Source organism: Homo sapiens, chromosome 14 (assembly GCF_000001405.40).
Source record: "Homo sapiens chromosome 14, GRCh38.p14 Primary Assembly".
Lineage (NCBI taxonomy): Eukaryota > Metazoa > Chordata > Mammalia > Primates > Hominidae > Homo > Homo sapiens.
The window spans coordinates 54,974,772-55,001,845 of record NC_000014.9 but is presented as its reverse complement, the minus strand read 5'-3'; the positions used below and the strand labels follow the sequence as shown (position 1 = coordinate 55,001,845).

General features: G+C 38.2%; 1 protein-coding gene across 4 annotated transcripts in view; it reads left to right on the top strand.

Moving 5' to 3' along the window:
- The window catches only part of WDHD1 (WD repeat and HMG-box DNA binding protein 1), an 88,151-nt gene that overhangs the window by 25,254 nt on the left and 35,823 nt on the right, over positions 1–27,074 (top strand). For 3 of the 4 annotated variants that reach the window (NM_001008396.3, XM_006720012.2, NM_007086.4), the window contains 8 exons: positions 854–960; positions 1,202–1,343; positions 6,033–6,243; positions 10,446–10,633; positions 12,634–12,818; positions 14,459–14,700; positions 16,986–17,123; positions 20,150–20,306. In NM_001008396.3, coding sequence (NP_001008397.1) covers positions 854–960; positions 1,202–1,343; positions 6,033–6,243; positions 10,446–10,633; positions 12,634–12,818; positions 14,459–14,700; positions 16,986–17,123; positions 20,150–20,306 — 1,370 coding nt within the window. Of the gene's footprint in view, positions 1–853; positions 961–1,201; positions 1,344–6,032; positions 6,244–10,445; positions 10,634–12,633; positions 12,819–14,458; positions 14,701–16,985; positions 17,124–20,149; positions 20,307–27,074 lie in introns of those variants that run through there. The other variant, XM_011536373.3, reaches the window with a different exon arrangement.

Sequence of the window (27,074 nt, the reverse complement as noted above, 5' to 3'; positions counted from 1 at the left end):
TAGTTAGCCTTTATTGTTAAGTGAGTTTCACTGAGACTTGTGATCATGGACTCTGAAATTTTAGAGGAAGAAAGGTTGTTGGTCTGTTTTCTCTGTCTCTTACATGCGTAGATATTTACAGTTAAGGAAACATAAGCCCAGTAGGTCAGCAATGGCTTACTAAAGTTCACTTCACTTACTAGTTTTCTTCATCTTGATTGTGAATGCTAAGAGGATGTCTTGAATTGTCTCTCTTTCTAGGATAATAACATTTTTTAGGTTTTGCTTTGAAAATTGTGCCAGTGGCTGGGCACAGTGGCTCATGCCTGTAATCCCAGCACTTTGAGAGGCTGAGGCAGGAGGATTGCTTGAGGCCAGGAATCCGAAACCAACTTGGGCAACAAAAGAAGACTCCATCTCTACAAAAAATACTAAAAAATTAGCCATGTGTGGTGGTGCATGCCTGTAGCCCTAGCTACCTGGGAGGCTGAGGCAGGAGGATTGCTTGAGCTTCAGAGTTGAAAGTTGCAGTGAGTAATGATGGTGCCACTGCACTGCAGCCTAGGTGGCAGAGCAAGACCCTGACTCTAAAAATAAAATAAAATGGTGCCAGTATAATTTTTTTCATGATAAAGTAATAGCTGGTAGTGATACTTGAATGTTATTGAAAAGTGAGGTTAGAAAATAAGCAAACTTTGTCTTGTATCGAATATAATTAGAAATAATATAGAACAGGGATATAAAAATTTGAATTTGGTTGATTCCCCTCCAAATTCTTGAAAAAAAATGAAAAGAAAATTGAATTTGGTAATAAAATGAGTATTTAGTTTGAAATTTTACAAAATCATTATTTATTAACTGTTTTTCTTTACAGACCCTCAATATAGTAACCTGGTCTCCCTGTGGGCAATATTTAGCTGCAGGTAGTATTAATGGTCTAATCATAGTTTGGAATGTGGAAACCAAAGACTGCATGGAAAGGTATGATTTAGTGTATCTTTTGTCTCTTCTTTGCTCATCTCTATTAGTTTTGTATTTGTTTTATTTTGAAACATTTCAAATTTGCCATCAGATTGTCAGAATGAAAGTATAATTAAATTTATATTATTTATAAATTATTGTCAAAAGTCATTTATTCTTTCCTAACTAAAATTTACCTAAAGAAATGTACAATTTATATTTTTCTTGACAGTATTTTTAGAACCTACTTTTTAATTTTTAGGGTGAAACATGAGAAAGGTTATGCAATTTGTGGTCTGGCATGGCATCCTACTTGTGGTCGAATATCGTATACTGATGCGGAAGGAAATCTAGGGCTTCTAGAGAATGTTTGTGACCCCAGTGGAAAGACATCAAGCAGTAAGGTAAAAGGGAGTATGGTACAACAGTTTCTTCAAAATGTTTCTGTGATCATATGGATTTGGAAGACACCACAAACTGCCTTACTTTCTTGGAAAATTACCTTTCATGTTACTATAGTAGATGCTGAGTAGTAATCTATAGTAAGAAAACTTCTTACTTGTTCAACCTGATGTCTCCCAAGTGTATTTTACTAAGAAACTTTTTTCTCTCCATATAATGCCTTTCCAAGGAATACCTTTCATTAAATACTATTTTGTATCAGGTCTCAGTTTGGCCTGCAAACTGTTTCTACTCTGAATTAGCCTTAACTCTTAGAACTACCTATACACCTCCTCTGCTTAGTCAAACAGCTTTACTGAGCAACTTTAAACAGGCACCTTGTTTTATACCTTCTTGCTTTTGTTCATTATTCACCCTGCCTGGCAGATGTACCTATTTATATTCAAGTCTTAGTTTAGACTTCTGGTTACAGATTGCAGACTTAATACATGCATTTATAGCTGTCCCTCCTGAAACCCCCACAAAAACTATACTAAAGGCATTTTCTTAAATGCATAATCCCATAAGGTTAAAGAAGTCAGTTGAAGGGATGATTATAAAAATAATTTTGAGCTCTGCTGCAGTGACTCACACCTGTAATCCCAACACTTTGGGAGGATTGCTTGAGCCCAGGAGTTTGAGATCAGCCTGGGCAACATGGTGGGACCCCATCTCTACAAAAAATTAAAAAATAAAAATTAGGCAAGTGTGGTGGTGTGTGCCTGTAGTTTCATGCTCCTACTCAGAAGGCTGAGGTGGGAGGATCACTAGAGCCCAGGAGGTTGAGGCTACAGCAAGCCGTGATTGTGCCACTGCACTCCAGCCTGGATGACAGTGATACCCCATCTAAAAAATAAAAATAAAAAAGTGGAGGCTAGAAAATAGAAGGATGATGAGAAACTCACTTCAGCTTCTCAAAAAGTTGAATTCTAAAACTGTAGTTTCTGGAAGTTGAGGTGCTACTCAGTTTGCCTCACTGAATCCCCAGAGATTCAGAATTTGGTAGCACTAGGTGCTTCTAGAAGTGGGGCTGAAAACAGGAGAGGTGATTTAATAAGCACATAGAGTGTTCTAGTCTCAACATCTGTGTTCAAAGCTGGGTACCTGCCCTCCCCCATCTTCACATGCATTCTGGCAGAATGTTGGAGATTTGTTTTTTTAGAAAAGATGAAATAGACTGTCCTTGGTCTAGGGACACTGGTTACAGTTGAGTGGTCTTGGGTAAGGGGGAAATACTGTACTGAAAACAGAGGATTAAATGAAAGATTAGATACTTGAATGTTGAAATGATCATCTCACTTCTAGTAGGTTCCCAGAACATTGTCAGCCATTCTTATGCATTTCAGGCAGGAGATTGGAAAAATCATCTTTGGGGAATTTGTCTAAGAGAAAAGACGTAAAGAGAGAGTTTCTTAACTCCAGGGAAGACAAAAAGTTGTAAAAGAAAGGAACAGTGATCATAATATACTGTATGTGTAAAAAGATAGGAATAATGCCAACCACTTGGGGTTATTGGGAGGATTAAGTGAATTATGTATAGTTAGAACAGTGTCTAGCACACTTCATAAGTTTGGCATACTTTATAAGTGTTGGCTATTATTTTTATTATTCAGCCATGAATAGCATTTACATGATCTTAATAACCTAAATACTGTATATTGATTGAACCACAAGGAGGATATATCTATCTATATTGGGAGAATTGGGGTCGGAGAGTAGTGTACATGCAAGCATGGCGGTTGGGGTGGTTGTGAAAGGGTACCAGATCCTCATCTGCCATAGATGGAAGTTAATAGGATCTGTTAAACACAATGATTAAAAGTGAAAAAAAAAAATTCTACTAGAATATGATTTACAGGTATGGAAGAAGTAGCAAAGAAACAACTAAAAGAGCTGGAAGGATTTATTCTGTAGAGAAGTAAATTGGGGCTGTGGAGAGGACTGTTTTCATAGCACGCCTTGTAAAACTGCCTAACTAATATATATGCATGTGTAACATTGGTAAAAACAAAAAGTGAATTAAGAAAAAAAATTTTGGCTGGGCACGGTGGCTCACGGCTGTAATCCCAGCACTTTGGGAGGCCGAGGCCGGTGGATCACCTGAGGTCAGGAGTTCAAGACCAGCCTGGCCAACATGACGAAACCCCGTCTCTACTAAAAATACAAAAATTAGCTGGGCTAATTTCACATCTGTGAACATTTTATCGCCTTCATCATAAATATGAGGCACAGTCCTCCATTAAAAATTTTTTTTTTTCTTTGAGGCAAAGTCTCCTTCTGTTGCCCAGGCTGGAGTGCAATGGTGGCTCCCTGCAACCTCCGCCTCCTGGGTTGAAGCGATTCTCCTGCCTCAGCCTCCCAAGTACCTAGGATAACAGGCACCCACCACCACGCCCTGCTAATTTTTTGTATTTTTAGTAGAGACAGGGTTTCACCATGTTAGCCAGGCTGGTCTTGAATTCCTGACCTCAGGTGATCCACCCACCGCAGCCCCCCAAAGTGCTAGGGTTACAGACATGGGCCACCGTGCCTGGCCTCCCCATTTTTTTTTTTTGAGACGGAGTTCCGCTCTTGTTGCCCAAGCTGGAGTGCAATGGCGCGATCTCGGCTCACTGCAACCTCTGCTTCCCGGGTTCAAGTGATTCTCCTGCCTCAGCCTCCTGAGTAGCTGGGATTACAGGCTTGTGCCCCCACGCCTGGCTAATTTTTGCATTTTTAGTAGAGACGGGGTTTCACTGTGTTAGCCAGGATGGTCTCGATCTCCTGACCTCGTGATCTGCCCACCTCGGCCTCCCAAAGTGCTGGGATTACAGGCATGAGACACCATGCCCGGCCTCCCCATTTTTTTTAATTAGAAAATCCAAAAACAATTTTTTGTCAGCTTGAGTACACAAACTTTTAGGACTATAAATGGAATGGTTGAATATCTTCTTATAGCACTTAGTTATTAATTTACTCATATCAAGTATTTTTCAATGTATGGATTTAGAAACACTTTTTCATCTCATTTTATTAAACATCAGTTTTCAGAGCACAGTTATGTTTACTTCCATTTAAAAGGTTTATGAGGGTCTGGGTACGGTGGCTAACGCCTACAATCCCAGAACTTTTGGAGGCCGAGGTGGGTTTATCACCTGAGGTCAGGAGTTCAAGAATAGCCTGGCCAACATGGGGAAACCCCGTCTCTACTGAAAATACAAAAATTAGCCAGGTGTGGTTGTGTAGGCCTGTAAACCCAGGTACTCAGGAAGCTGAGGCAGGAAAATCACTTGAGCCTGGGAGATGAAGTTTGCAGTGAGCCAAGATCACGCCACTGCACTCCAGCCTGGGTGACAGGGTGAGACTCTGTGTCAAAAAAAAAAAAAAAAAAAAAAAAGGCTGGGCGCTGTGGCTCACGCCTGTAATCCCAGCACTTTGGGAGTCTGAGGCGGGTGGATCACGAGGTCAAGAGATCAAGACCATCCTGGCCAACATGGTGAAACCCCATCTCTACTAAAAATACAAAAATTAGCTGGGCATGGTGGCATGCGCCTGTAGTCCCAGCTACTTGGGAGACTGAGGCAGGAGAATCGCTTGAACCCGGGAGGCGGAGGTTGCAGTGAGCCGAGATCACGCCACTGCACTCCAGCCTGGCGACAGAGCGAGACTCCACTCTGTCAAAAAATAAATAAATGAAAATAAAAAGTTTATGATGTAATACTTTTTAATCTGTTAATGGTGTTCTCATTAGACTTATACCAAACTATAAATTTCCATTGGCTTAACATTTGTAGTTTTTATGCATCCTATAGGAGTAACTTGGGATCTTTGCAGTGTATCTGCTTACCATTTCACTTTTTGAAATGATCTAAAAATTTATTTATTTTGAGACAGGGTCTCACTCTGTCACCCAGGCTGGAGTGCAGTGGTGAGATCATGGCTCACTGCAGCCCTGACCTTCCAGGTTCAGGTGACCCTCCTACCTCAGCCTCGCAGGTAGCTGGGACTATAGACACATGCCACCATGCCTGGCTAATTTTTTGTGGAGATGAGGTTTCATCATGTTGTCCAGGCTGGTCTCGAACTCCTGAGCTCAAGGCATCCACCTGCTTCGGCTTCCCAAAGTGCTGAGATTACAGGTGTGAGCCACCATGCTGGGGCTTTATGTAGAATTTCTTTGCCTTCTTTGTTTTTCTATTGGTTCTATCACTTTATTTTTATAAGTATCAAAACACTAACTTTAACTGAGATAATATAAAGAAAATGTATCTTATGCAGTATTTTGTTCAAAATAAAAGTAAATGAGAGACTGTCTTACAATATGACAGACTTTATAGGGACTTTATCATATTAATATCACTTCTTTTCTAGGGAATGACTTCTGAGGAATAAAATCTTATTTTATATTTTGGCATATACAGTATTTGTTTACATGTCAGTCCCTATACTCCCATCCCATCCCCAGACTACAAGGCATTTGAAATAAGGACTGGGTCTTATTGTGTAAATATAAATACAATTCTCATAAATACATTTACTAATTATTCTTATCTGTTCAGTGAGTTTGCTGCTTGGTAGAATTTATAGGTGCATATTAAAAGTTTACCTTTTTAGTAATTGAGTTTTTCTAAATCATTCACTTTTACTTTATAATTTGTATTAATTTGTTCAAGGTATCTAGCAGAGTGGAAAAGGATTATAATGATCTTTTTGATGGAGATGATATGAGTAATGCTGGTGATTTTCTAAATGACAATGCAGTTGAGATCCCTTCTTTTTCAAAAGGGATTATAAATGATGATGAGGATGATGAAGACCTCATGATGGCTTCAGGTCGTCCTAGACAGCGAAGTCACATCCTAGAAGATGATGAAAACTCAGTTGGTAAGAATTTGACTTTGTGCATGTGATTACCCTGTTGATTAATATTTTAGATTTTTTATTAACACTATTAAAGTCATTATTGAATTTGTAGAATGTAGCTAAGTGGTGCTTAGAGGAAATTTTATAGCATTAAATGACTTTGTTAAAAAAGGTTTCAAATCTATAATCCAAGCTTCTGCTATGGCAGACTAGAAAAAGAGAAAACTAAACCCCAAGCAAATGGAAGGAAATAATACAGAGCAAAATTCAATAAAATTGACAACAGAAAACCTATAGAGAAAGTCAATGAGACCAAAAGCTGGTTCTTTGACAAGATCAATAAGGCCGGGCACGGTGGCTCACGTCTATAATCCCAGCACTTTGGGAGGCTGAAATGGGCAGATCACTTGAGGTCAGGAGTTCAAGACCAGCCTGGCCAACATGGTAAAACCCTGTCTCTACAAAAATACAAAAATTAGCTGGGTGTGGTGGCACGTGCCTGTAATCCCAGCTACTCAGGAGACTGAGGCAGGAAACTCACTTGAACCCAGGAGGTGGAGGTTGCAGTGAGCCGAGATCGCGTCAACTGCATGCCAGCATGGGCAACAGAGCAAGACTCCATCTCCAAAGAAAAGAAAAGATCAATAAAATTAATAAATATCTATCGTGGTTGATCAATAAAGAGAAGACACAAATTACTAACATAGAGAATGAAAGAGAGGTGGGCCATCACTATAGATCTGTAGATTTGTGCTATCCAATATATAGTAGCCACTAGCCACATGTAGCTGTTGAGCACTTGAAATGTGGTTAGTTCAAACTGAGATATGTTATGAGTGCAACCGGATTTTTTTTTTTTTTTTGAGGCGGAGTCTCACTCTGTCACCCAGGCTGGAGTGCGGTGGTGTGATTTTGGCTCACTGCAACCTCCGCCTCCTGGATTCAAGTGATTCTTGTGCCTCAGCCTCCTGAGTAGCTGGGATTACAGGCATGCGCCACCACGCCTGGCTAATTTTTGTATTTTTAGTAGAGATGGGGTTTCACCATGGAGTGCAACCAGATTTTGAAGACAATATGAAAAAAAGAATGTAAAAATCTTGGGAAATTTTTTATATTGAGTACATGTTGAAATGATAATATGTATTTTAAATGCACTATATTATTAAGATTATGGCTGTTTCTTTTTACTCTTTAAACTTTAGAAATATTAGAAAATTTAAAATTACAGCTGTAACTCACATTATATGTCTGTATGGCAGTGCTACTATTAATATCAAAGGCATAATGGCAATATTATGAATAACTTTGTGCCCATAAATTTAACAACTTAAATGAAATAGACGAATTTTCTGAAAGACACAAAGTACCACTGCTAACTCAAGAAGTAATAGATAACCTGAATAGTATTGTATCTATTAAAGAAATTGAGATTGTAATTTAAAATCTTCAAATAGAGTGCTTATTGTAACAACTTACATGCTACAATAACACTTGAACATTATCAAGTAAAATGAAGAAATTGAGATTGTAATTGAAAATCTTCAAATAGAGTGCTTATTGTAACAACTTACATGCTACAATAACACTTGAACATTATCAAGTAAAATGCCAATGTGCAGTGCTATGTTGTGCTTTTTAAAGTCATATAGAGTTTATAGAACAGCAGTCCTCAAATGTTTTGGTCTCAGTAGCCTTTATACTCTAAAAAATTTTGAGGACCCTTCCGAGAGCATTTATTTATACAGAGTTACGGCTATCGTCATTTACATATTAGAAATTAAAATTCAGAAATTTAAAAATATTTATTCACTTAAAAATAACATTAATAAACTCATGTAAACATGAATAGTACTTTTTTATGAAAAACAAAAAAAATTAGTGAGAAGAGTGGCATTGCAATCTTTGTAATGTCTATCATAGAGGATAGCTGGATTCTCTCATCTACTTTTCTGGATTAAGTCTATTGCTATACATTGTTTTTGTTTGAAGTGTATAAAGAAAATTTGGCCTCACATAAATATGTAATTTGAAAAGGGAGAAGTATTTTAAGAAATCTTTTAATAGCACATTCAATTAATTGTGGATATTCTTTGATGTTGCACCAAGACTCAGAAGATGATCGTTTCCTAAAGATTACTTGCAAAGTGTAATCTGAAAACTTCAGTGAACTCTTACGGCTCTGTTATGTTAAGATTCATTGGTCTGGCTGGGAATGGTGGCTCTCACCTGTAATCCCAGCACTTTGGGAGGCCCAGGCAGGAGGATTGCTTGAGGCCAGGAGTTCAAGACCAGCCAGGGCAACATAGTGAGACCTCCTCTCTACAAAAAAACTTTAAAAATTAGCCAGGTGTGGTGACGTGTGCCTGTAATCCCACCTACTTGGGAGGCTGAGGTAGGAGGATCTCTTGAGCCCGAGAGGTCGAGGCTGCAGTGAGCCATGATTGCAACAGTGGGCTCCAGGCAGGGTAACAGAACGAGACCCTGTCTCAGAAAAAAACAAAATAAAATCAAAAAATTCATTGGTCTGACTTGAATGTTGAATGGATTTTTTAAAATCATGTTTAATTTTGTAACATATGAATTGATAATATTGGTTCACTGAAGTTTATAGATCCTCTTTATACTGACACTTTTTATTATCTAATATAAATTATTTGTTTTTGTTTTTAATTAATTATATGTTGTTTTTAATTAATTAATTTTTGTTTTTAGAGATAGCATCTTGCTCTGTCACCTAGGCTGGAGTGCAGTGGTATCATCACACCTCACTGTAACCTTGAACTCCTGGGCTTAAGCAGTTCTCCCACTCAGCCTTCCGGGTAGCTAGGACTACAGATGCATGCCACCATGCCCATCTAATTTTTTATTTTTTGTAGAGATGGAATCTTGCTTTGTTGCCCAGGCTGGTCTTGAAATCCTGGCCTCAAGTGATATTCCCTCCCCAGCCTCCCAAAGTGCTGCAATTACAAGCGTGAGTCACAGCACCTGGCTGTAAATTATATCTGCTAGTGTTGTTACCAATCTCATCAGTAGTTTCTAAGTATTAGAAAGTTGTGAAGCTCATAATGGCAAATAGAAGCTTTCCAATATCTTAATTTTTAATTGAAAGCTCAAATTTCTTGTTTTTATTTTTTGAGAGGGAGTCTTGCTCTGTCACCCAGCCTAGAGTGCAGTGGCACGATCTCGGTTCACTGCAACCTCTGCCCTCTGGGTACAAGTGATTCTCCTGCCTCAGCCTCCTGAGTAGCTGGGATTATAGGTGCCCGCCACCATGCCAGGCTAATTTTTGTATTTTAGTAGAGACGGGGTTTCACTATGTAGGTCAATCTGGTCTCGGACTCCTGACCTCAAATGATCTACCCACCTTGGCCTCCCAAAGTGCTGGGATTACAGGCCTGAGCCACTGTGCCCAGCTCTTTTTTTTTTGAGACGGAGTCTCCCGGGTTCAAGCGATTCTCCTGTCTCAGCCTCCCGAGTAGATGGGATTACAGGCATGTGCCACCATGCCTGGCTAATTTTTGTATTTTCAGTAGAGACAGGGTTTCACCATGTTGGCCAGGCTGGTCAACGTGGAACTCCCGACCTTAAGTGATCTGCCTGCCTCGGCCTTGCAAAGTGCTGGGATTACAGGTGTGAGCCACCGTGCCTGGCCTGAAAGCTCAAATGTTATCATTGGCAACAAATTCTGCCAGTTATTTTTTCTTAATTGATAGGCTCACTTCATTCATTTACAAGAAAATGTTTGCCAAAGATCCAATTCTGCATAACCGTAGTTTATCTGGCATGTGTTTTTTAAGTAAAAGTAGTGTTGTATGAAAAAAAATCACTTAGTTCAGCTTACAACTCAAACAATTGCATAAGTGCTTTTTTTCAAGACAACCATCACACTTCTCATTTTAGCACACAGAACTTTAAAAAAAAAATCTGTGTAAGCGTCAAGATTTAATAAAATTAATATTTTTACTGCAAGTGAGTAGTGGTTAACAATGCAGTAACGACTAATACAGTTAGGTGCCACTGCCTTGATTGGTGCCAAGGCACCAGGAATTTTACCCACCATTGCTTTTGCACCATCACTGCATCTCTTTAACACAGTGAAAGAGGCAAATAGCATGTCAGTGTCATTGAATATGAATGAAAAAGTTACTAGATTCCATAATGCTTTCCTTTTTCCAAATCATTGGTATTCGTGATTCCCTTAATTATGATCCTTTGTGTTGTAGATATTTCAATGCTAAAAACTGGTTCTAGTCTTCTCAAAGAGGAGGAGGAAGATGGTCAAGAAGGCAGCATTCACAATCTACCACTTGTAACATCCCAAAGGCCATTTTATGATGGACCCATGCCAACTCCCCGGCAAAAGCCATTTCAGTCAGGTTCTACACCGTTGCATCTCACTCACAGATTCATGGTAAGACTTGGATCTACACTTAACTTCTTAGTAGGTTTTCAGCACTTTTTTCTTACTATAGTTAATTTTTTTGGATAAAACATATTTTTAAAAACTTTGATTAAGTAGCCTGGAGCACTTTGGTTGATTACAGTTTTGTGGTTGGTTTATTTTATGGTTAGCTCACAGTTTTAATCTTGTTTCAACCTTATTGAAAATGATGTTAAATAAAATTCTGCTTTCCAAAATGACATTAAATGAACATAAGTAAATATTACTATCTTGCAATATTTCTTGGCAATACTTTCAAACCTTATTCTTCATGGTCATTGTTACATAGAAGATTATACTGACTCCAAAACACTAGTAAGGAGGTGCTTTCTTAGAAGGCAACTACTAGTATAATATATTAGAAGGTGGCAAGTACTATGGGGGGAAAAGTCTGACCCTTTTCCTCACTCCACCACCCACCAGAATGTAAGCTACACGAGGATAAAGATTTTTGTTTTGTTTACTGATATGTTCTTAGGATTTGGAACAAGGTATGATACAGTGCACATTAAATATATATTTCATGAATAGACAAAATGAATATATTGGCTTTTTGCCTTAGATTTGAGTTCTTTTTTTTTTTTTTTGAGATGGAGTCTCGCTCTGTTGCCCAGGCTGGAGTGCAGTGGCACAATCTCTGCTCACTGCAAGCTCCGCCTCCCAGGTTCACGCCATTCTCCTGCCTCAGCCTCCCGAGTAGCTGGGACTACAGGTGCCTGCCACCATGCCCAGCTAATTTTTGTATTTTTAGTAGAGATGGGATTTCACCATGTTAGACAGGATGGTCTCGATCTCCTGACCTCGTGATCCGCCTGCCTAGGCCTCCCAAAGTGCTGGGATTACAGGCGTGAGCCACCGCGCCTGGCCTGAGTTCTTAAAAAGTTTAGTTTTTCTGTGTTGGTTATATGATGTTTTCCATTCTGAGGATTTTGCCTTTTTAAAAGTATAGGCCTGGCATAAATTTGAAGAGTATAGGCCTGGCATAAATTTTTATGTAAAGATTAAGGGTGGTGATTAATATTAATAAAACTTTTTATTGCTATCAGTAGTCATCAAGTCATAGGTCTTAATTTTTTTATTAGTGTCAATATTTTATTTATAGTTATGTTAAATAAAATATTGGCACTAATTTTATTAGAAACTCTAGGGCCTAGTGTGAGCCTATAATGGACATCAGTGGAAGATAAGTTTTCCAAGTGGTATCAATTTATGTTGCCTCTGCCGGGCGTGATGGCTCACGCCTATAATCCCAGCACTTTGGGAGGCCAAGGTGGGTTGGTCACTTGAGGATAGGAGTTGGAGACCAGCCTGGCCAACATGGTGAAACACCCTATCTCTACTAAAAAAATACAGAAATTAGCTGGACCTGGTGGCATGCACCTGTAACCACAGCTACACAGGAGGCTGAGGGAGGAGAATCACTTGAATCCAGGAGGCAGAGGTTGCGGTGAGCCGAGATCATGCCACTGCACTCCAGCTTGGGTGACAGAGCAAAACTGTCTCCAAAAAAAAAAAAAAATTATGTTTTCTTAAAATGTATGTATTTATTTTATCATAGAATAGTTAGGAAAAAAGTCTGTTGTTATTTGCATCCATATTTGTAAGAAAACTCAATTTTTGAAATATTTCTTTTGAGGAATTTAATGGTTTGGTTGTTCAAAGGACAACTGTAATGTGCTTTTAAAGTAACAGTCATGTAATTTATTTTTAAATATTATTAAATACTCTATTTGCTAATTAATAAGTATATATGTATCTTATTCTCACCAAGGAAATAATAAGTAATTGTAGCTCTGGTATTATGACTCCTGTCAGAAACTATTTAGAGATAGATGAGATGTAGTAACTCCCAAAACCTAAATCTTAATACAAATTTAATTATAATATTTGTTAATTTGTACTACTGTGGCTTACTGATTCTAGGAGCTTCAGTTTTTCTCAGACTTATATTTAATCTTACCTGTTTGTAGGTGTGGAACTCTATTGGAATTATTCGCTGCTATAATGATGAGCAAGACAATGCCATAGATGTGGAGTTCCATGATACCTCCATACACCATGCAACACACTTATCAAACACTTTGAATTATACAATAGCAGATCTTTCCCACGAAGCTATTTTGTTGGCATGTGAAAGCACTGATGAACTAGCAAGGTAAACTCAAGATTATTAGGAAGAATTTGGCACTGTTGAACTGTTAGATACAGTTGTTGAAATTAAAGACAAAAAGTTAATAAAACAAAATTTATTTTTTGTAATATGAAATTTCAGAAGAGTTTGGTACAAACACCAGCACACCCAAAATACCTCAGAACATATGTCTGTTTTTGCCATAATGATTCCCTCATTACATGCTCTAACTACATAGCAAAATGACATGGCATAGTTAGTAATGCAAGAGATGGGATTTTTTTTTTACATTGTTAAGTGCTTTTTTTTTTTTTTACTATTATAAGAGTAATATACATTCATTGTAAAGAAAAAAAACCAGTATACAGTATAGAAGTTTCGGAAAATGAAAACTCCTCCCAGAATTCTACTCTCAGATATAACTGCTATTTACAATTTGATATGTATCCTTCCAGATTTCTTTCTATTTGAACCTCCCTTATTTTAATTTACTTTATTGAGATGTAATTTATTTACAATAAAATGCACCCATTTGATGAGTTGACAAAGGTGTATATACACAGATAACCCCTACCACAATCAAAATACAGAATGTTCTTTATCACCCGAAAATGTTTTCTTATATCCCTTTGCAGTTAGTTCAACCCTAGCCTTGGCCAACTATTAGTCTAGATTTTTGTCACTACGTCTTTATCACCCAAGAATGTTTTCTTATATCCCTTTGCAGTTAATTCAACCTGAGCCTTGGCCAACTATTAATCTACATTTTTGTCATGATGGATTAAATTTAAAATCTCTCTTCGAGAAAGGAAAAAAAAACGGAAAAACAAACCAAAAAATGTACTAGTCACCCGTTTGCTTTTTCTACTTAATATTTTTTGGATGTTTACATGTTTTGATAAGTAGGTAGGTAAGTAAATAGGTAGATAGATGTCAAGAAAAAAATTATGATGGGAAAGCAATGGGTGCAGAATGTTTTTCTTTTCAAAAGAAAAGAAAATATTTTTTCAGCTTTTTGTTAATCAAGAGATTGCCCTCTCTTGATCCCTTCTTCAGCTGATTATAGTACTGATACACTTCATGGATTTTACTATCTTCTATGTGATTTGAAATTTGTATCCTTCAGGCTGGGCATGGTGGCTCACGCCTGTAATCCCGGCACTTTGGGAGGCCAAGGCGGACAGATGACCTGAGCTCAAGAGTTTGAGACCAGCCTGACCAACATGGTGAAACTGCATCTCTACTAAAAATGCAAAAATTAACCAGGTGCAGTGGCACCCACCTGTAGTCCCAGCTACTCGGGAGGCTGAGGCAAGAGACAGGAGAATTGCTTGAACCTGGGAGGCGGAGGTTGCAGTGAGCAGAGATCACACCACTGTACTCCAGCCTGGGTGACAGAGCAAAACTCCATTTCAAAAAAAAAGAATTTGTATTTAATAATAACTTACATATATGTATGTGCAAAGAAAAAAGGCTGGAAAGATATCAATATAGTTCATTTTAAGGGTATTTCATAATTACTTTTTTAAAGCAACTTCTTATACTAGTGTATAATAGGAAGTAAACTATTTGGTTTTTTTGTTGAATATCATGATTGCTTATATATATATATATGTAAATATCATATGAAAGTTTGATTGTTTCTGTCTTGTTTTAATTTTTAGCAAGCTTCACTGCCTGCACTTTAGTTCTTGGGATTCAAGCAAAGAGTGGATAATAGACTTGCCTCAGAATGAGGATATTGAAGCCATATGTCTCGGTCAAGGATGGGCTGCTGCCGCTACTAGTGCCCTGCTTCTTCGATTGTTTACTATTGGAGGGGTTCAAAAAGAGGTATTCAGCCTTGCTGGACCTGTGGTGTCAATGGCAGGACATGGAGAACAGCTTTTCATTGTTTATCACAGAGGTAGATTTTTTTCAGTCTTTTATGACTTGAAGTAAAATGGAAATTACTTGAGCTTTTTTGCTGTTTTTGTTACTCTTTTTGTCTTGGATTATATACTTCCTTTTGAATCCGTGTAATCTTTAAATGTAGATAATTTTGTTGTGTTCACTAGCAGCAATGAAAATGAAAATGTTTCTTAATAGAACTATATTATAGAGAGAATTCCAAGGTGGAATTTGGTTAATTACTTCCATGTCTAAATCTTACCATTTTGGCAAGCACGACCAGAGAACTTTCAGCGTTGAAATTCCACAAAAATAACTCCTAGTAGGAAGGGCCAAAACAACTCTGAATGTGACACTTTTTAAAAGCTGCTGCCTCCTTTTTCCTCCCCTCATGTCTTTCTTCAGTCCCCGTCACTATGCTAAGACTGGTCTTATCAAGGTAACCGATAATCTCTGTGCTTTTTTAAAAAAATAATTCCATTGAAAATACCTTCTTCTCATGACTTCTGTGACATCATACTTTCAATATTTTTCCTCACTGGCAGCTCCCTTTTTACTTTTTTGTTGGCTCTATCTTTTAGCTGGAGTGTATCCCCTTTTTCTCTACTACTCTCTAGGTCAGGGTCTTTCAGTCTTTTTGTCTGCTTTGCCACAGTAAGAAATAGATTCATAGATTCTGGACCAGGTATGGTGTGGTGTGGTGTGGTGGCTCACACCTGTAATCTCAGCACTTTGGGAGGCCGAGGCGGGAGAGTTGCTTTAGCCCAGGAGTTCAATACAAGTCTGGATAGCAATAGCAAGCCCCTGTTTCTATTTTTAAAAGAAAAACAGAAGAAAAGAAATATATTCTATATAACTGTTCTATAAATATCTGCAAATGTAACTGAAATAAAAGTCTCCTGGACAATGTTTACTCTTTTGATATCAGTTTAAATTTTTTTATTTCATTTTTTAAAATGCTAGTTGCAAATTAAAATTGATTCCATGACTCTTAGGTCAAAATATGCAGTTTGAGAAACCACCCTGGGGAATTTTATCATAATCCATGGCTTTAAATACATCTCAGTGTCTATGACTTTTAAGTTGATAGCACCAACCCTACCCTCTCCTTGTGTCTCCAGACTTACACATCCAGTTGCCTACTTGAAATCTATTTAGAGTTTGGACAGACATTTCAGACTTAATTTGCTCACAATAAAAACTGATTTTTTTCCTTCCAAGCTTGCTTCTTATGTAGTTTCCCCATCTTAGTAAATGGCTTACTAACAATCTAGTGGCTGAAGCCAAAAATCTAAAAATTATCCTCGATTCTTCTCTTTCCATTTCCCCTGCATCAACTCCAACAGTAAAATTATATCATCATGTCAATTCTATGGAATAACACATTCTAAATTTGTCTCTTTTCATTTCTTCTGCTAATACAACCTGGATGTCATCTCTTGGACTGTCATAGTAGCCTCCTAACTAGTCTTTTAGCTTCAGTTCTTGCCTTCCACAGTCCATTCTCCACAGAGCAGCCTAGGTGATCTTTTAAAAATATAGATCATGCTCCTCTTCTCAAATCCCTCTGACTTTCCTTCACTTTTAGAATCAAAGTCAAACTTCTGATAGCTGTCAAGGTGATCTACTGATCCCGTATAATCTGACCTTTGCCTGCCTCTCCAACCTCATCTCTTACCGTTGTTTCTCATTACCATGTTCTGGCCATACTGCCTCTTTGTGTTCTTCGAGCCCTCCATTCTTCCTACCTTAGGACTTTGCATTAGCTGTTCCCTCCATCCACTTCCGTGTTCCTTCCCCTAATGTTTGCATGGCAGGCTCCAGCTTGCAGTTCATGTCTCAGCTTAAACTTTACTTTCTGAGAGGTCACTTCTGACTAACCAGTCTAACAAACCACTCTGACATTCTGTATCACATTATTTTAACTTTGTGATAATTTTTTTGTTCTTTTTGTGTTTTTTAATTTGTCTTCTACCTGAAATTTGAATTTAATAAGAGTGGTGACTTTGTTTATTGCTGTAGCCCCAGTATCTAGGCCAATGCTGGCGTGTAGTAAGCTCTCTGTAAATATGTCTTGAGTGAATAAATGCCCACTTATAAGGACTTTATGTGAAGAGTCCATGTAACATCTTACTGTGTTTCTAATACCTGAATGATGCCTCAGTTGGATGGGTTATTCATAAAAAGTAGTGCTAGTCAGTCTAGTAATTTACCACAAAATCAATTCACAGAAAATAATTTAGACTGCGTTATAGTTGGATAACCTTTGATGCCTGATTTATATTTACATTTTCTCATTAGGTACAGGATTTGATGGGGATCAGTGCCTTGGAGTTCAACTGCTAGAGCTGGGGAAAAAGAAAAAACAAATTTTGCATGGTGACCCTCTTCCTCTTACAAGGAAATCCTACCTTGCATGGATTGGGTTTTCAGCTGAAGGCAAGATAAATTTGTTTAAAAAAAACAAGTATAATATAAAGTGTTAGATATTCTTCAAGAAGAAAATTATTTCATTGTTTTATTCCTAATTAATTTAAGAATAAATTATCTCTATTTTATATTTTAAATTTCTATTTTAATATGTTGGCAGAACTGGGAGCTGCAATCTTTAGGCAAGGTAGCCATTGTTTTATGTATAAGATCTTGTTTTTATTTTTATGTTCTTTTAAGACAGGGTCTGGCTCTGTTGTCCAGGCTGGAGTGCAGTGGCATGATCTCGGCTCACTGCAACCTCCACCTCCTGGGCTTAAGCCATCTTCCTACCTCAGCCTCCTTAGTAGCTGGGACTACAGGCATGTGCCACCATGCCTAGCTAATTTTTGTATTTTTTGTAGAGACAGGGTTTTGCCATGTTGCCCAGGCTGGTCTCAAACTCCTAGGCGCAAGTGATCCACCCACCTTGGCCTCCTAAAGTGCTGGGATTACAGGCGCGAGCCACTGCACCCGGCTAAGAGCTCTCTTCATGAGAATTCTCATTAGAAAACTTATAAAGAAGGAAATATATTTTTCTGAAAGTATTAAATAGCAAGGAGGTGATACAAATCAATAATAAGTTGTGTCTTTTCCAGCAGATCATACAGAAAACTTAGAATTTTCTAGAGCTTCACTGTTTACTACAATAACTAGTATGTGTGTCTGTTGAGCACTTGAAATATGGCTGAGATGTGCTTGTATGTGTAAAATACTCTGGATTTTGAAGACTTAGCATGAAAAAAGATATAAAAATCAATTTTTTTATGTTGATTACATGTTAAATGATAATATTTGAGATATCTTCGATGAAATAAAATGTATTATTAACATTAACTTCATCCTTTTTTTCTTTAAAAATAATTTTTTTTTTGGCTGGGCATGGTGGCTCATGCCTATAATCCCAGCACTCTGGGAGGCCGAGGCAGGAGGATCACTTGAGCCCAGGAGTTCAAGACCAGAGTGGGCAACATAGTGAGATCCCATCTCTATTTAAAATTTTTTTTTTTTTAAGGAATAAATTAGGAGTCTTGCTCTGTTGCCCAGGCTGGAGTGCAATGATGCGATCTCAGCTTACTGCAACCTCTGCCTTCCGGGTTCCAGCAATTCTCCTGCTTCAGCCTTCTGAGTAGCTGGGATTACAGGCTTGCGTCACCACACTCGGCTAATTTTTGTATTTTTAATAGAGACAGGGTTTTACCATGCTGGCCAGGCTGGTCTTGAACTCCTGACCTCATGTGATCCACCCGCCTCGACCTCCTGAAGTGCTGGGATTACAGGCGTGAGCCACCGCCCCCAGCCTAAATTTTTTCACTTAACTTTTTTTTGTTGTTCAGATACATGGTATGTAGCCATTTTTTTTTTAATGTGGCACTAGGAAATTAAAAATTACACTTGTGGCTCACATGATATTTCTTTTGGATAAGTGCTATTTTAGACCAAATTCTAGAGGCTTATGACAGATGATTTGAAAGACACTGAGGAGTACCTTATTTTATTTTATTTGTTTTTGTGTTTGTGGTTTTTTTGACGCAGAGTCTCACTCTGTCACCCAGGCTGGACTGCAGTGATGTGACCTCAGATCACTACAACCTCTGTCTTCTGGGTTCAAGTGATTCTCGTACCTCAGCCTCCCGAGTATCTGGGACTACAGGCACATACCACCACGCCTGGCTAATGTTGTATTTTTAGTAGAGATGGGGTTTTGTCATGTTGGCTAGGCTGGTTTTGAACTCCTGGCATCAGGTGATCCACCTGCCTCAGCCTCTCAAAGTGCTGGGATTACAGGAGTGAGCCACTGCACCTGGCCCAGGAGTACCTTATTTTAAATCACCTGTCATCTCTGTCTCATGGGGACTTAAATATTTCTCTTTTTGGAGATTCATGTTCTTCATTTACATTGCTGGAAACTCCACTTTGTCTTTAAAATATCAACCATTTCTAAATGTGTTTTCTATTAGTCATTCAGGCTTTAATAATATGAACCATTGATAACTTCCATTTGTATAGATTTTTTTCTCCGAAGTACCAATTAGATCCAGACCCTGCGGAAACTAATGTTTGCAGAGTGAGGGGGGTGTGAAGCCACAGATAAGAAAAGGGATAATCAGGTAATTTGCCACAGATTTCCTGAGTTGGAAGCAGAATAGGTGGAAAACAAGAATGCTTCCCTGTTTTACGAGGTAAGAATTGCTTACCTAGTAGTTGGGGACAGAGTAGTGACAAGGCCAACAAAAAGAAGAGAGAGGAAGAAGAGTACTAAAGATAAATTTCGTAAAGATCACTTTGTATCAGATTTTGGTCATTTTTCTAAATGTTTCTCAAGCGGGAGCCTTCTGATTCATGTTTAATTTTTTACTAAAATTGGCTTTAAAATTATTATCGGCCGGGCGCGGTGGCTCACGCCTGTAATCCCAGCACTTTGGGAGGCTGAGGCGGGTGGATCACAAGGTCAGGAGATTGAGACCATCCTGGCTAACATGGTGAAACCCCGTCTCTACTAAAAATACAAAAAAAAATTAGCTGGGCGTGGTGGCGGGTGCCTGTAGTCCCAGCTACTCGGGAGGCTGAGGCAGGAGAATGGCTTGAACCTGGAAGGCGGAGCTTGCAGTGGGCCGAGATCGCGCCACTGCCCTCCAGCCTGGGTACACAGCAAGACTCCATCTCGAAAAAAAAAATAATAATAATAAATAAATAAATAAATGAAATTATTATTATCTTCCAGCAGGTGGCATAGTTTTCACTGAAACTCAGTTTTTTCACTTTATTTGTGTAAATTTTAGTCATATCAAATCCAATGTTTTTTCTTTTTTTAGTTAGGTCTTACTTTATATGGTTAATGAAATTTTACGTAATAATCTTAGATTATTTGCTTCTGTTTTGTGTTTTGCTTTTGAAAGCAAAGTTGAATCCTTGGTATGTATAATATATTTGAAATAGGGTTCCTTTAACAACATGTAGCTATGTCTCCAAGTGATTTTTCTGTTGGTGTTTAGGTACCCCTTGTTACGTGGATTCAGAAGGAATTGTTCGAATGCTTAACAGAGGACTTGGTAATACGTGGACTCCTATATGTAATACAAGAGAGCACTGCAAAGGAAAATCTGATCACTACTGGGTGGTTGGTATCCATGAAAATCCCCAGCAACTAAGGTGGGCTATTAAAAGAAGTCTAAAGTTGACTCTTTTTAAAAAGTATGTTGAAATTCTTTTTATGAGGCCCTTTAAGTGTATTTGTCTTTTATCTTAGTCCAATTACTTGCTTTCCATAGTCACTAAATTAGGAATTTGTTCATATTCACTCTGAAGTTTTCAGTCACTTGCTTTACTTGAAACATGTTGAACAAAATAGAAATAATTAGGATGACCTTACCATCATTTCAGCCACACAGGGAGAGGAATTCTGATTAAACATGGCATTTCACCTTTTATTACTGTCTTTTATTTTAATAAAATAACAATAAATATAAAAGTTAAAGTGAAAATAAAACAATATATATTCAATTGAGAATTGAAATATACAATTAAGCTGCTTTTTGAGATGTTTTGCTTAATTATCGTAATAGGAGGAAGGACTAATAGAAGACAGAGTCTCGCTCTGTTGCCCAGGCTGGATTGTAGTGGCGTGATCTCAGCTCACTGCAAGCTCCGCCTCACGGGATCACACCATTCTCCTGCCTCAGCCTCCCCAGTAGCTGGGATTATAGGTGCGCACCATCACGCCTGGCTGATTTTTTTGTATTTTTAGTAGAGAGGGGGTTTCACCGTGTTAGCCAGGATGGTTTCAATCTCCTGACCTTGTGATCTGCCTGCCTCGGCCTCCCAAAGTGCTGGGATTACAGGCATGAGCCACCACGCCCAGCTGAGTTTTTTTTTTTTTTTTTTTTTTTATGTGGAGTCTCACTCTGTCACCCAGGCTGGAGTACAGTGGCGTGATCTCAGTTCACTACAACCTCCACTTTGAGTTCAAGCTATTCTTCTACCTCAGCCTCCCCAGTAGCTGAGATTACATAGGCATGTGCCACCATGCCCAGCTAATTTTTGTATTTTTAGTAGAGACAGGGTTTCACCATGTTGGCCAGGCTGGTCTTGAACTCTTGACCTCAAGTGATCCACCTCAAGTGATCCACCCAAAGTACAGGCATGAGCCACCGTACCTGGTCCTGGACTAATAGTATTTTATATTGATCCGTGTGCACATTAAAGTTTGGGAAGTACTGCTGCTGGCATATGTATAAAATGATACATTGGCTGGGTGTGGCATGGGATTTCTTTTTGGGGTGATGAAAATGTTCAGAAATTAGTGTTGATAGATGCACAATTCTGTGAATATACAAAAAAACCACTGAATTATGTCTTTTTTTTTTTTGAGACAGAGTCTCACTCTGTCACCCAGGCTGGAGCACAGTGGCCCGATTATGTCTCACTTCAGGCTCACTTCAGTGACATCCTGGGCTCAAGCGATCCTCCCACCTTAGCCTTCCAAGTAGCTGGGACTACAGGCACGCACCACCACACCCAGCTACTTTTTGTAGAGACAGGGTTTCACCATGTTGCCTAGGCTGGTCTCAAATTCCTGGGCTTAAGGGATCTTCCCGCCTCGGCCTCCCAAAGTGTTGGGATTACAGGCATGAGCCACTGTGCCTGGCTGAATTGTATACTTACCATATGATATGGCTGGTACATTCTCTGTGAACTCAATATTATGTGAATCATATCTTGACAAAGCTGTTAAAAAGGATGAGGACACTATATAATGATATAGAAAAATCTGCAAGATGTGTTAAGTGAAATAAATACCATTTGTGTAAAAGTGGGGAAAGAATAAGAATATGTAATTGTATTTGCTTTACATACGCAAAAGAATTCCTAGAAGAATGAAAAGGAAACTAACAATAATAGTTACCTCACGGAGAGAAACTCAGTGGATAGTATAGGAGACTTTTCTCTGTATTCATTTTTATACTTTTTGAGCATGTAAATTGAGCATGTAACTTTGAATTACTAGTTCAAAAGTTAAATAAATTGAATTTTTAAACAAAGCAGCAATTCAATAAACTAAATCAGATAAGGCCAGAAGTTAAGTTCAAGAAGACTTCTTAATTTGGCTACATGGAGGTTAACGGTGACTCTGATAAAAGTGATAAAATGTTAAATTCCAGATTGGGGTGGGCATGGGAGGTAAAGAAATGAAAGTAGAATATGTGGATAACTCTTATCAAGAAATTTGACTATTGGGCCAGGCGAGGTGGCTCACGCCTGTAATCCCAACACTTTGGGAGCCCAAGGCGGGAGGAATGCTGGAGGCCAGGAGTTTGAGACCAGCCTGGGCAACATAGTGAGACCCAGTTTCAACAAAAAAAAATTTTTTTAATTACCCAGGCATGATGGCACACACCTATAGTCTCTGCTACTTGAGAGGCTAAGAGGGGAGGATCACTTGAGCCCAGGAGGTTGAGGTTACAGTGAGTCATGATCACACCTCTGCACTCCTGTCTAGGCGACAGAGAACCTATCTCAAAAAAAAAGAACTTTGGTGTGAAGAGGAGCAAAGATTTGGGGTGGCACCTAAAGGAGGATAAAAAGTCTTTGAAGGGATTTTTTAGCTTAGGTGACTCTATAGCATTTTTGTAATCTTTTGGCAATGAATTTAGTAAAGAAGATAAGATTGATAATTTAAAAGAAGGAGCCAATGAAAGGAATGAAAAAAGAAAAAAAAGTAGTAGCTTTTAGATCACCTGTCTAAAATAGGAAAATAGACATTTCATCAGTTCTGGAAAGGGAAAAAAATAGGCACAAATGCAGATAGATTTGGTAGCCAAAAGGTAACAAATTCCTATCTTCTGTTTTTGGCTTCTGTTTTGTTGGCAGATCATGAAGCAGAATTCAGTTATTTCTGGAGACAGTGGTTGGCATTGTGGGATGTTTGAGAAGAAAAGACATATAGTCTCAGAGGATGCAAAATTGAATTAGTAGAGAACTACAGAGGAATTGGTGGTTATTTCTGTGTGTTTTGCCTTTACAGTTGTAATCACTGAATATTACATTCTAAATATTGACATATTTAGTATCAGAAGAAGTATATTCATTAACGGTTTTTTTTTTTTAGAGCCAGGGTATCACTCATTTGCCCATGCTGGAGTGCAGTAGTGCAGTCATAGCTCACTGCAGCCTTGAATTCCTGGGCTCAAGTGATCCTGGCACCTCAGTCTCCTGAGTAGGTAGAACTACAGGCACAGGCTACCACACCTGGCTAATTTTTAAAAATATTTTGTAAAGATGGGGTCTCACCATCTTGCCCAGATTGACCTCTAATTCCTGGCCTCAACTGATCCTCTTGCATCAGCCTTCCAAAGTGCTAGGATTATAGGTATAAGCCAGATGCCAAGCCACATTCACTATTTTTAGTAGTTCTTATAGTGTAGGTTGTTCTCAGTGATTTCTTGCATGTCCATTTTCAGGAATCTAGTTAGTTTAGTAATTTGAATTAAAGAATTCACAGTCTATCTTAATAGTAGGTTAAGGTTTGAACCTATGAGGATTTTTACTATTCTGCCTAATGCTTATTCAAGTAAGATTATTCATTTTGTTAGTGAATGTCATTATCTTAGAGGTATATGAAATTATTTATTTGCAATATATGAAATTAGTCATCTGCAATGAACAATTTTGCTTCTTCATTTCATTTAATATTACAAGTATTTCATCAATTGCAGTTTTCACACCCTTAGTAATTTATCCAGCTGGCTTTTTTTTTCTTAACATGCTTTTTTTTTTTTTCCACACAACCCTTTGGAACACATTTTTTACTTGCTTTTTATTTAAGATTTGTAAAGAATTTTAACTTGTTAAAAACTACGATAATTACAGCTGGTAACATTTAACTGTTATATTCAATAATGGATAAAGAAATAATGGACTGTAAATTACAGCTTTTACACTTAGAAGGATTTTAGAAACCGTCTATACTAGTAGCTCCTGACATTTTCAAATATAAGAGCCCTTTTTATTTATTTATTTAGAAACAGGGTCTCCTTACGTTATCCAGGCTGGACTTGAACAAGAGTCCTTTTTTAAATGTTGAACAGTTCATGCCTCCAAATAATAGTAGCTCTAGTAGCTCTACATTTAGTATCAGCTAATAAAGAATATTTCTTTATTGAGACACAGTCTCGCTATGTTCCCTAGGCTTTTCTTGAACTAACCTCGAGTGATCCTCCCACCTTGGCCTCCCAAAGTGCTGGGATTACAGGCATGATAACATAAGCTTCTGTAGACCTGAAAATTTTATTTTAATATAAAATTGTATTTACAAATCACGTTATCTGCATACATGTGAAAATTTTAGTATGTAAAGTGGAAACTATTTTTGTATTTGGTCTACAGACAATTCATGGTGCTTGTGTGCATTCCTAGACACTTTATAATAGCTCAGCAGCCCTACAGGAATAAAAGAATGGGAACTACCAAGTTCTTTTGGTCTATTTGCTGTCTCTCTTCACCCCCAGCACTTCTCCCCAATTTTTACATATGAGAAAACTAAGGTCCAAAAAGATTAAAGTAATTTGGTAGAGAGTACACATCTATTTATTGGCAAAAAAAAAACAACCTTATTTTTTTGTATTAAAATATAGGAACAAAGGGAGTTAGCTGATAAGTAGATTGAAAGAATAAATACTTCTCCTATAAAGACCAGCTTGTTGTAGAATAATTGAATTACTGAGGGGAATCTTATACAGTAGGCATTTGAAGCACTGAGAAGATACACTAAAAAATCTGTTGATAGAAATGTATTTATTTGTATATTATGTGATAAATTGATAACTGCAGACTGTTTTCATATTTTCATATTTTCCTGGCTTTATGCTGGAATAATAAACTTGAATAAGAATATTTTTCTTTTTTTTTGGTACACCCTTGTAGAACATTTATTTATTTATTATTTATTATTTATTTTTTGGTATATAGCCTTAAATATTTTTCAAAGATTGGAAGCAACACTTCTCAGTATGGCTTACTGTACTTTTCACACCAGTTTTGCTTAACATGTTGGCATATTTAGAGATGATTCATTTCCTTTCTGTGGATAGCGGTACATGGAAGTTCGGGGAATAAAATTCTGCAATCACTTTTTTAGTAGCCTGCTGTTGTGTTTAAAGAGCCTTACCTATTTTGGCTAGCAAGAAATTCATTTTTGGCCAGGCTTTGTGACTCACAGCTGTAATCCCAACACATCGGGAGGCCAAAGCATGGGGATCACTTGAGGCCAGGAGTTTGAGGCTAGCCTGGGCAACATAGAGAGACCCTGCCAGGCATGGTGGTACATGCCTGTAGTCCCAGCTGCTCGGGAGGCTGAGGTAAGGGTATGACTTGAACCCAGGAGTTCAAGGTTATACAGCCCCTGCACCCCAACCTGCGTGACAGAAGGAGACTTTGTCTCTAAAATAAAAAGGAAATAAAGAAATTCATCTTCATATTTATTTGCATTTTTAATGCCTCTGTTTGCTCTCATTGTTTGTGATAAAGATAGCAAATCACATGCTTCTCTGGAAAGCCAATGTGGCCTAGTGGTCCAGAGCTCGAGCTCTCGAGTGACACTGCCTGCTTGTGGTATCCTGGCTGAAATCCTCGTTCAGTAGCCCTGGCTCTGTGCCACTGTTTCCTCATCTCTAAAACCACAGTGTACCCATTTCACAGAATTTCTGTGAAGATGAAGTGACTTAGTGATACCTCTTTCTTTATTCTTTTAACTTTAAATGCATTTTCTAACCCAACTCAGTGGTATTTATGCTTTCTTTTTGTTCAGAGATCCTTTAAAAGAAAGTACATTTTGTGAAAAATAATTTTTAAAAATTCATTTGAGAGCGTGTCACATCGGTGCACACCTGAATACCAGCTACTTAAAAGACAGGGGCAGGAGGATCACTGGAGCCCAGGAGTTTGCAGACAGCCTGGGCAACAGCAAAACCCCGTCTCTTTAAAAAAAAAAGCATTAATTTAAGTCAATATAAAATTTTCCTATTTTCCTTTAATTATGAATATGAGGTTGGGTGCAGTGGCTCACGCCTGTAATCCCAGCACCTTGGGAGGGCAAGGCAGGCAGATCACCCTGAGGTCAGGAGTTTGAGACTATCCTGGCCAACATGGTGAAACCCTGTCTCTACTAAAAATACAAAAATTAGCCAGGCCTGGTGGCAGATGCCTGTAATCCCAGCTACTTGGGAGGCTGAGGCAAGAGAATCGCTTCAACCTGGGAGGTAGAGGTTGCAGTGAGCCGAGATTGCGCCACTGTACTCCAGCCTGGGCAACAGAGGGAAACTCTGTCTCAAAAAAAAAAAAATTATGAATATGAGAAATTACTGATCTGTATTAATGTCATCCCTGCCCCCTTTGAGCTGAACTTCAGTTTACCAAGTATTGTTTCTTCTAAAGATTTTTTCATGACACTACTGGTTAATACATAACTGAGAGTTAATAAATTTTGCTGTGTTACAGTCTAATTTGCTCTCTACCAACAGAGACCTTCTTTCTTTTTCTGTTTAGTTTTTCAAAACAAGAGTTATTTAATGTGCTTGAAAACTAGACATTTTTCCTAGTTGTGTTCACTGAATTAGCATTTATTATAGTACCGACTAGATGTGCTATACCACACAAAGATAAATGAGGCTGTGGCCTGGAAGAGGTAGGCTTGTAAAGTCATTATGCTACTCCCAAATAAGTGCTTTAAAAGAGATGTGAGCAAAGTCCCCTCAAATGCAGAAGACAGTCCGGTCCAACACAGAAGAAAAAGCAAAACTTGCTGGCTGGGGCAAGGTTAATCTGGACACGACCTAGTTTTCTCCAGTTTGGCATTTTTATTTATTTTTTCGAGACAGAGTCTCATTCTGTCATCCAGGCTAGTACAGTGGCACAATCTCATCT